General features: G+C 36.3%; 1 long non-coding RNA gene across 2 annotated transcripts; it reads left to right on the top strand.

Annotated features, from left to right (window-relative positions):
- The first annotated feature begins 6,299 nt into the window (after positions 1-6,299).
- On the top strand, positions 6,300-10,640 carry LOC105377563 (uncharacterized). 2 transcript variants are annotated; one of them, XR_939515.2, is made up of 3 exons: positions 6,300-6,432; positions 8,770-8,860; positions 10,274-10,640. It is a non-coding gene; the product is annotated as an uncharacterized LOC105377563 (long non-coding RNA). The 2 variants fall into 2 exon arrangements; XR_007058391.1 differs by lacking the exon at positions 8,770-8,860.
- The last annotated feature ends 1,180 nt before the right edge of the window (positions 10,641-11,820 follow it).

The raw sequence follows: 11,820 nt of genomic DNA on the forward strand, positions 1-11,820 counted from the left end.
AATAATTTATTTTTTTTATGTGCACAGAGGACTTTGTAGAAAGTGAAGACCCAAAGAAACGGTTAAACTCAGGGGACTTGTATCCCAACTTAACAAAGGGTGATTAATTGTGGAGATGTCACAAGATAAAGGAAAGGAGATTTAGCTTTGAGGGGCAGTAAATTGAAGGAAGGCAAATATATGGGGACACTGATAAATGATAAAGCCTATCTAGTAAAGTTCTGTTTATGCAGACCCATCTAGTGTCATCTCCATCTGCATCGATGAAGATTGTTTTTTTCTTTTCTATTATTATAAAGGGAACACCTACACAAAAGGAAATTTATGCACAGCTTTTAGGCAGACAGGGGGAAGGCAGAGAAGTTTTCCTGCATCTGCCATCTCTCAATTCACTTCTGCTCAGAATAATTCTTATGTCAAAATGGTAACTGGTGGCGGGATGGGAGGGAGGAGGAATTGGGTTCCCTTTAATTTTACATTGCAAATGTCTGACAATTATGGGTAGTTTTATAATTCTAAGCAGAAAATACAGTTTGGAAATTTAGTTTCTTTTAATAAAGCAGAGAAGAACAAATAATATCAATTAAATGAGTATTTTTAAATAACATTTTTAAGAAATATTTGTACATTTAACTTTGATTTCTACCAGTGGAAATAAAAAGAATCCTAAAGATTTTAAGCCTCATGTCTATAGATGTTTTGGTGTCTGCTTAATATAGAATCTGTCAATAAAACCTTCCTACCATTCAATATTTTTATTCTGCTGCAAATAAAGCTCTCAGGGTCACAAAATATAGTGAGGGCATGCAAATGGCTGTTCTGTTTTCCTTGAGGAAAACCCCCACAATGCTTTTATAAAAAGTTCTGTAATTATCTAGGTTTTCTGTAATCATTGAATATAATTTATAAGATTAGGAGAAATACCTAATAATGTAGATGATGGGTTGATGGATGCAGCAAACCACCATGGCATGTGTATGCCTATGTAACAAACCTGCACTTTCTGCACATGTATCCCAGAACTTAAAGTACACCTATACAAAAAAAAAAGATAAAGTATCTCTCTTTTAGGTTTATGGGTGTGTTTTCTTTTCTATATCATCTCCAAGAAACCATCTGTCCAGTCTTATTCATCTGAGGCATATTTAGTCTCTAGCTAAACAAAATTGAAAATGTTGCTGGGAGTTATAAACTATTATGCAGAAGTGTGGGAGGTTGTCCTTCACTAACATACAGAGAATCATGGCTTAAGCAGTCCCATTGCCTTTATGTAAATATTAAGGATGACAAGACAGATAATCCTCTCAGACTGAATTTAATATTCTCAATTCACTTACAAATGAGTGGTATACACTGTATAAAACAAATATATTCACAATTATGAAAAATAAATATTAGACCTGAAAACCTCTAGCACATAGAAAATCTTTATCCCCAAGTTCCACTATGATCATCATATAAATCTTTAGATGCCATTTCAACTTCACTTTTCTAGATCATTTTAGATAACTATGTTTCTAAAGCAGAATACATTACTACTTCCTCATTTCCATTAACTGTTTTGCAAGATTTTCAGGTTAAAATACAAAGGCATGAACTCGGCTCACTGCAGTCTCTGCCTCCCAGGCTCATGGGATCTTCCCACCTCAGCCCCCCTAGTAGCTGAGACTGCAGGCCTGTGCCACCATGCCTGGCTATTCTCCCTATACTCTTAAAGAGATATATGTCTAACATTAACACATTGTAGAGAGAAGAAATTGAATTTGGATTCAGAAAAGCAAGATTAAATCTTAGACAAATAATGTTAGTGTGAGTTTTTATTTGCTTGTTTTTTAACCATTCACGGGCCTCAGTTTGTTTTGAGGGATGAAATGGATAAGGCAAGGAAACTTTTAAGATGGAACCCGACTCTTAGTGTTTCTTTTGACTAGTAAATTGTACACCAGATAACATGTGGACAGTCTTGTTTAATTGAAAAACCTCAAGACTTAGTGCTTTAAAAATATCAAAGTGCTATATTCTGACATGTCCCTATTACTTCACTTTAAAACATGTATTTCCTTACAATTAGAACAATGATATCTATTTTTAATTAAAAAATAGAAAAATAGAAAAAAATTATAAGCAAAATCTCCTACTTCTAACTCATATTCACTGTTCACATCTGGGGACGTAATTTTTCAAAAGAGCATGTGTGTGTGTGTGTGTGTGTGTGCATGTGTGTAAAATAATGCAGTAACCACGATTATAACACAAAGCCGTTCTATACTTTTCTTTAATGATATTTCTATTAAAAGTATATATGAAACATGTCTTTCTTTTAAATATATCCTAAGTCATTTATTCCATGGGAGTAGCATAATTTCTTTATCCAGTGCCCTAAACATAATCATTTGATTTAAAAAAAAAATTATTATTACGAACAAGGCTTTAATGAACAATTTGCACATTTAGATGAAATTATTTTCAAGAATTAGAATTCTCTAAAATTTTGTGAATTAGAATTATTCTAATTCATAAAGAATTAGAGATTTTTTATGAATATCAATAATAATAGAAAAGGCCCATTTCTGTGCAGAATGGAATAATATGGATATTTTTCTTCTCTTTCTAAACTAATAGAAAAATGCCAATAATTACTTTTGTTTAAATTTCACTTAAGATACCTTGAGATTGAGATTATGAGGTTGAGTTATATTTACATATTTGTATTGCCTATTTTATGAAAGAAAAAGACTACTTTGTAAAAGCAAAATTTTCTAGTATTCTTGATTGAATCCATATATCTAGAACTGCCATGGAGGTTAAGGAAAATCCCTGAATACATTCACATTGCATCAAAGGATCCCAGTAGCATATTTGAGGAGCGCATATTGAGTTTGTGTAACAAGGGATGTGGTACTTTTGTTGACTTTTTTTATGTGGCTGTAATAAGTAGAAGTCAATGTGAGGGAAAGGAAGCATTGAATATTCTGTATTGAGGTTTTAGAAAGTTCACTTTTCCATCAGATGCTTATATCTAGAGAATTTATAAAGTCAAGATTAAAAATGTCTTTCATGTTGATACATGAAGTACAGATTAAAGAAAAGTTGTCTCTATATTCATATTAATAGTTTGGGGAAGAAGAAAACTTTAAAATTGCTACTTTTAAAAAAGATCTTAGATTTTGCCTTAAAAGCATTCAGTCTTTACATTCCTCAGGCTAGATGATGTGTTTCTGCCCAAGGGCAGATGAATGTCACTCCCTCAGAAATCCATCAGTGCCAGGTCTAAAATGGCCAGAGGAGTTGCTGCAGGCAGGGCAAGCAGAGGTTTTCCCATCTATCTCATGTTGACTTTCCAGTTCTGTGGGCCCAGGGACTTCGACAACTTCTGCATTTTGCGCAGCCCATGTGGCTGCTGCTTGTAGCTGCCCCACAATAAATCAGAGAATGGTAACAGCTTTGCATGTTACTTCAGAATTTTAAAAACCCCACATAGCTCCATCTGTAACCTAATAATATAAAGTAATATATATGGAAGACAATTATGTATTTCAATCATTAAATTGTAGCAGTGAGTAGACCAGACTAATGAGGATCATAGAACTATGCTTTCTCAATTTAAGAACAGCTTAAGTACTGATGCTGAAATTTATGTGCTTTTTCAAAATGTGTAAAAATTAGCTCCATTTCACACTGAAACCTTCTCTGAGACTGCTTTCTTTGATTTCTAAAAGACAAGGTGCAGACTGTGCATGCGGTAAGTGTATACTGTATACTGTGCATAGTTAGATCCTTGTAACTTTTCAAAAAGAAAATTAACTGATTGTTTCAAGGCTGTGATGCAAATTAGAACATTTTCTTTAATTATTATCGTTATTATTTTATTTATTTATTTATTTTGAGACGGAGTCTCGCTCTGTTGCCCAGGCTGGAGTGCAGTGGTGCAATCTCAGCTCACTGCAACCTCTGCCTCCTGGGTTCAAGCAATTCTCCTGCCTCAGCCTCCTGAGTAGCTGGGATTGATGGCGTGCGCCACCATGCCTGGCTAATTTTTATATTTTTAGTAGAGATAGGGTTTCACCTTGCTGGCCAGGGTGGTCTCGAACTCCTGACCTTGTGATCTGTCTGCCTTGGCCTCCCAAAGTGCTGGGAATACAGGTGTGAGTCACCGTGTCTGGCTATTGTTTTGTTTTGTTTTTTAAATAAATGTTCCATTCATAATAATAGGCTAAAAAGAACTGTTAGAGGAGACTGGGCAGATGGAGTGGGGCAGGCAATTTATCAACTTAGGAGGTAATGTATCTTTCCATTCTTTACCTGAAGATGTAGGTGAAACATTTTAAATCAAATAGTAAAAATAGGATATGTTTGCTACCAATGCTACTACCAACTACATTATTATTGCCAAAATCATCAGATACCCTAGAATAATATATAAATTTATTTTTGTAATTAGATAAGACAGGAAGAAGAAGTAAACTTCAAGGTAGAATGTCTGAATATATACTAGAAAAATTCCCATAGTTTGACATTTATCAGATTTCAAGTAATCTGGGGAAAAGACCCTCACAATATAGTAGGAAACATGTTATGCACAGTTTTACAGAAATCAGAATCATAATTGGAAATTGGAATCACAATGATTCAGAAGTTGAATAATTTACTTAGAGTTACCCTCAAGAGTCAACCAAAAAAGATGAAGAAAGAAAAAGGCTAAAAATAAATTAATCTGGAATAAAGGCGTTTGTTGAAGTTGTTTGGCCTAACACTCAATGTATTGCTGCAGCAGATAATAATGTGGCGGTTATAATGAATAACTCTTAGAGGAAGAAAAATGAATTCAGAGACACAGTTAGGCATTTAAGACTGATAAGAAACCACAAAGACTACCTCTCCTGCAATCTCTGTGTCTATGACAACTTCAAATATAGTATTTCCTATGGCAAATTTAAATGAAATTATTTTTGATAAAAACTCTAAAGACCTTTTCATGGTGACAGATGGTGTTACAAAGTCATGTATATCTAATCAGTAATCTACACGATCTTGTTTCAGTTTTGTGAGGAAAAAATGAATGCTTTATAAAAAGAGAATATTTTGCAATTCCAAATAATAGCATAATTTAATATTAACATAAAATAATTTTATAAGACCAGAAAATTTCATTTTATATATATTCAAAAATATGTTTTATCTTCTTGCAAATCCAGTATTCTTCTGGGATATGTAATAAGACTTTAGGGATGATTTATGCAATTCCTCTCTACTAGACTTGCAGGTAGGAGTCTATAGTTTCGTAGTTAAAAATATCCACTCTGAATTTATACTTCCTTGGTTCAAATCCAGGCTCTATCACTTACTAAGTGGTTATCATTGGCTAGATTTTTCTGACTACATAAAATTTTTTTATATCAGTGGCATTTAATTTCCTTTATGTGCTTTCTTTTCAAAATATGTATTAAAACTTTTAATTTGTTACATTTCTTTAAGTTTTTTTTTTATTTTACCTTTTGCGGATGAGCTGAAAGAACGTTATAATGATATTCCTTAAAGTTATATTAGTCAAAACAGATTGATCAAGTCCTGAACGGTTCTGCTGTTAACATTGTCCAGAATATAGCCATGCCTAATTCATATTTTTTAAGTTATTTAGTGCCATTCCACTTTACCATATATACACTATTTTATGTTTAATGTACTATTTCATTATATTACATACTTCAAAGTTAGTAATTTTAGTAAACGACATAAAACCATATATCTTAATGTTACATTATCAATAAAATACTTTATAATAGTAATTAGTACCACTGTCATGCCTATTATTACTACATTACTTCCACTGAGACACTGACTAGCCCATATTTGCTGAATGTTGCCCATGTCATCAGTACCGTTTGTAAGTGCTTTATATTTCTTAACTATTTTAATTATATTAATGACACAGGACACTTTCAGTGCCGCTTTGCCAGCCAGAAACTTCTGTGGCTGGTGGCCCCTCTGCCCGGGTTTCACTCCAGCCCGCTCAACCTGGCAGGCTGCACTCGACTCGCTCCCTGGCCTGGATCCCGTGACCACCATGGCTGTGTGGTCACCATGGTCCAGCCCATGGCAGGACCAGAAGTGCCACAAGGGGCTTCCATGTCTGGGAGCCAGCATTCAGACAAGGGGAGCGCTGTGGCACCCCAAAACTCGGAGACAACAGTGACCACGGAACTCCAAAGAGGTGTCACAGATTCTGCTCGGGGAGTTCTGAGGTGTGGGCCCCCAGGAAGTGTTACAGTTCTCTCTCATTCCCGCCATTTACAGCCGAGCGAACGAGGGCGTGTCACAACTCATTCGGTCCCGCTGCCTAGATGGGCGAGCCAACCAGAAGCGTGCTGCTGCCCTTTTCACTGCCACTATGCGGCAGGTTCCAGGTTCTTGTTCTGTGACCAGAAGAATGAGGTACGTGGACACCGGTAAGAGAGCAAGACAGAGAAGAATTTCATTGAGTGACAGAAAAGCTCTCCACAATGAGAGGGGACCCGAAGTGGGTACCCCTCTGTGTGAGAAGGAGGCCCAAAGCAGATAAATGTCTGAAAGGCTGAGTCCAGGGTTTTTATAGGTTTGCAATGAGGAGGTGTGTGCTGTAAGGTAGCCTTGGAAAAGGCAACATTTGATTGGTTAAAAAGCTTCATCCAGAAGGAATCAATAGAGAGAGAGTGGACAAACCGGAATAGAAGTTCTCACTCTGGTCCAGAAGCTTGGTTTTCAGGCAAAACGGTCTTTGGCTTGGTCAGGTTTTACCAGGGACGCCCTCCTATCTGCTTAGGAATTTGACTGTCTCCTGCTGCTATTAATAACACCATGAAACTCGTTTTTCTTTTAAAAATGGAGTCTCAGAGGTTCAGGAAAGTGAAATATCTTTCCTAATCACAAATCTTCATGCGTTAGAACCAGAATATGAAATCTGATATTTCCACTTCAAAGTATACTTTATCCATGACTCCTGAAATGCCTCCCTGACAGAAAAGCCTTACAAACGAGGCTAATAATCCAAATGAATTTTGTTTTCCTTTTTTGCTTTTCTCTTCTTTAATTTAAATATTTTGCCACAATTTTTTGAAAGTGCTTCCTTTAATATTTTATTTTTTTTACTTTGCTATTATATTTATTTTTTCTTCTTAGGGGCCTATTTTAATAGCTCACCTAAACAGCTAAAAGAATAATAAAAAATTTTATTCCACATGTAATTAAATACTTTCATATTAAAAAATAAATGTACCACATATACTGAACATCTAGATAATTGCTTATACATTTTATTTTTCTTCCAAATTTTTTTTTCTTGATTTGAAATGAGACCTGAAAATACTTGGTCCTATTTTCTAAATTATTGTGAAAACTTAAAGGTAGCCTTCAATATCTCTTCCTAAGATTTTAAATCTTTAATAGAAAACATATGAAATTAAATTTTGGAGCTATCTGCTAAACATTGTCTTTAAAATATTTTCAGTTTTCTATTCATTGTTCAAGGATGGAAAGTAGATCTTATGATTCTAAACTAAAACCCACAATTTATGAAATGTCTTGCATGAATTAGCTCCCATATGTTGGAAGTGTTGAGAAATACATTGCAAATTTTAAAGTCACCTACAAAACTTTAAGGACAGAAAAGTAAATCTAGTCCTCTCCCTAACTTTTTCCTGGGCCACATGCTCACCATTCCAGACAAATGAGAATCTATCCATGACTAAAAAAAATCTCCAGAGAAGATTTCTTAACGTACCCTAAAATGTTTTCACTCTCGCTTTTAGTAGAATCTCCTTATTGCTCGCTTTATTACTGCTAGTTAAGTCTGCATCGGTTGCTCTCCTCTCTGTGGAAATGAAGAACAGCTGGCAGATATCTTCTGTGTAAAGGCATTTGAAATTCTAGAATAAAGTAATTAAAACACTTTCTTTGCCTTTGACTAACATTTTCCAGGATTTATTTGAAACTTTTATAAGTTTTTAAAGGTTTTACGTGCTTCCCGAGTCCTGGAATACTTGTTTTTTCTGAAGCTGTATAAGATATTGCCTGAGCAGAAAAGAGTAATAGATGGTTGTATATGATTCTAATATATCATTATCTTATTTCTTTAAATATTATGGCTGGGTGTGGTGGCTCACACCTGTAATTCCAGCACTTTGGGAGGCTGAGGCAGGAGGATTGCTTGAGCCCAGGCGTTCAGGACCAGCTTGGGCAATATAGTGCGAACCTGTCTCTACAAAAAAAAAAAAAAAAAATTAGCTGGTCATGGTGACACACACCTGCAGTCCCAGATACTTGGGAAGCTGAGTTGTGAGGATTGCTTGAGCCTGGGAGATCAAGGGTGCAGTGAACTATGATCACACCACTCCACTCCAGCCTGTGTGACTAAGCAAAACTTGTCTCATAAATAATAATAATAAAAACAAACAAACAAATAAATAAACATTGCTATCAGAGGTATGAGTCATTTATGTAAATACTCACATATTTCTTCTGCAGGTCTGAATAGGGGAAATAAAATACCAAGAAGTATTACTTCATAACTTTTGTACCAACTTCAGTTACTAAATAATTTTGTTTGGGGAATCTTATAAATTCCTCCATGAGCCTGGAATACCTTGACAGAGATTATTTCCCTCAATAACCAATAATCAGTCATTAATAGAGCCTCAGAATCTTCAAGCCCGGTCATAACCATTATTTGTAGAAGTGTTATTAGCACTGATTTCTGACATAAACTCTAATTAAATCTTGAATTTGTTTGGACAGTGATCATAAGACAAGAAATATATAAACAAAAAATGAAACCATGAAAATAGAAGCATTTATAGAAGCTGCACTACAGCATCTAATCAGGAGGGTGAGCTGATTTTTTTTTCCCCTCAAACATATTCAAGGACAGAGGTCAGCAAACATTTTCTGGAAAACAGTAGGTAGCAGATATTTTTGGCTTGGCATGCCATATGGTTTCTACTGCAGCCAGTCAACTGCAGCACTGTAGCATTAAAGCAGCCACAGCCAAAATGTAAGCAAATGCATGTTTCTGTGTTCCAATAAAACTTTATTACAAACACATGCAGCAGGCTGGATGTTGCCTGTGGGCCATAATTTCCCAGTCCCTGTTCTAGAATAAGGAGTGCCAAGACCTGCCAATATGTGCTGAACTTCCTGCTTTCCCACATTCTCTGAAATTTTTCCACTGCTGGGATTCTCCGAGGGACTAATTTTCCTCAAGAAGATAATTAAATTCCAAATCAGAAAGATGCCATGTTTCCTCTATGTGCTGTGCTTCGGCATCAACAGCAGGCATTTTCCTTGTGCTGCCTGGCTAATGTGTATCATAATCTCCCATCTCAGCATCAGATCCTCTGCCGGTTTCCTCCTGGTAGACTTCTCATTTTTCAAAATCAGGAGCTAAAACTAAACTTTCCCACAAATCTTCCAAGAGACTAGCATGCTGGTCCTAAATTCTGTCTCCAGTGATTGGCCATCCAAACGCTCCTATCACATCTCGCTTCTCAATTGCTCAGCCCCAAAACACCAGAGTCACTTTTCACTCTTTCCCTTTACGTCCAATTCATCAGGGAATTGTTAATAGTGCTTGAGAATACATGCATGCCTCACTATCCTTTACTACCTAATAGTTTGAGTCATCATTATCTCTTCTCTGAATTATTAAATCTACCATATCACCCAATCTATTTTCAATGGAGCAATTAGGTAATTTTAAAGCATAAATATAATGTCAAAATTCTCCCAGGAGTCCTCAGATCAGAGTAAAAAAGTCAAGGTCCTGCCAATGGTATACATGACCCTGCTGTATGTGATCTGTGCCACCTCCCAACCCTTATCTCTCTAGCCTTCTATCACTCTCACCTAATCTCTGGGATCCAGCACATCAGCCTCCTTTGCTGTTTTTTGACCACACCGAGAGCACTTCCACATCAGAGCATTCCACAGCCTTATTTTTTTCTGCACTGGATGTGCCCCATCACCTCAATTTCACCAATGTTCGCACCTCTTTGTCTTCTTTAGTATAATTCCACATTCTTTGAGTCCTAACTTGGTCAATCATATATCATTGCACCCAGTCCTCCCTCGTCTCTCAAAATCCCACCTACCCTGCCTTACTTTTTCTTTTCCTCATATCGATCATCTTCCGCAATACTATAAAATTTAAAATTGTTTTTATGTTGCATTTATTGCCATTGACTTTCTTTAGCTGCTAAATTACAAACTCCTAAGAGTGAATATGCATCTACTTTATTCACAGATTTTTTTCCAAGCATCAGTGACAGTGCTGGACTACACAGTGGAGGAACCTCGAAAACATTTTGCTAAGTAAAAGAAGCTGGACAAAAAATGGTCACATGCTGTGTGATTCCATTTATATAAAATATCCAGCATAGGGGAAATCTATAAAGATAGAAAATTGATGCTTGACAGGGGCTGGGGAAACGGAGATTGTGGAATAAATGCTTGATACGCATGGGATTTCTAGAGAGGTGGTGATTGTACAACATTGTGAATCTACAGAATGTCACTGAATGGTTCACTTTAAAATGGTTAATTTTATGTTATGTGAATTCCCCCTCCATTTTTGAAAATTACAAGAAATAAATTTTTATGTAATGCCTTCACCTGTAGAGACACTTATTAGCAAAAGTTCACATGCTTTGGGAATAGAGTGGATGTAATCTGAAGCTAGGGATTGCTAGAGAGGCAGTGCATGTGACAATCACATGGCGTTGAATAACTGAAAGGACTCACGGGGCTCCAAGTTATGCCCTAAATGACACTTTACCTTCATCATTGCCCTCCGTTCACAAATGCATACATGATTTATAAGCATTGGGGCACATGATTTTATAAGGAGTTGTAAAAGCAGGAGATAGTCTAACCACTATGTATGGACACCTTTTTGAAAAGGGCATTTATTAGTTTAAAAGTTACATATTTTCCACGTCCCTGCTATTGAACAAAGTCCTCTGTTTTGGGAAGCAACACATCCTACTTACTCCCTAAGAATGCACCCTGTGTAATAGATAAAACCTGCAAAATGGAAACCAAAAGAGAGGGTGACATTAGAATCATTGTAATTGTTCATCCGGTATCATCAAGATATATCAGAAACGTTGATTACTCTGAATTGAATATTTCTTAAATCTTCGCCATACCAATTTAGACCATTAACTTTAGACAAGGGAGAATGGTCTGCTAGGTTTGCATTTATTGACATTTATTTATTTATTTATTTTTGAGACAGAGTCTCTCACTCTGTTGCCCAGACTGGAGTGCAGTGGCACGATCTCAGCTCACTGCAACCTCCGCCTCCGGTGTTCAAGCGATTCTCCTGTCTCAGTCTCCCAAGTAGCTGGGATTGCAGGTGCCCATCACCGTGTCTGGTTAACTTTTTGTATTTTTAGTAGAGATGAGGTTTCACCATGTTGGCCTGGCTGGTCTTCAACTCCTGACCTCAAATGATCCACCAGCCTCAACCTTCCAACGTGCTGGGATTACAGGCATGAGCCACTGTGCCCGGCCTGACATCTCTTAATATAGTGACTACTATTATTTATTCTCTATGATGTTATGAAGATTACCACTTTTTATCTTGTCTGTTGAGATTTTCTTTTCCTTCTCCATTCAATATACAACCTTGAACAGTTGCAATACAGCTGCCTTCAGTTTGAATTTCAGCCCTCTATTCCTTACTACCCTCTGTAAACCATGCCACTCTGTCATATTCTGGTAAACAGTTATAAAAAGTGGTGCCTTCAGATATTAATTAGATAAATAACCAGGAAGGCCTAATGTAGA

Source organism: Homo sapiens, chromosome 4, assembly GCF_000001405.40.
Source record: "Homo sapiens chromosome 4, GRCh38.p14 Primary Assembly".
NCBI lineage: Eukaryota > Metazoa > Chordata > Mammalia > Primates > Hominidae > Homo > Homo sapiens.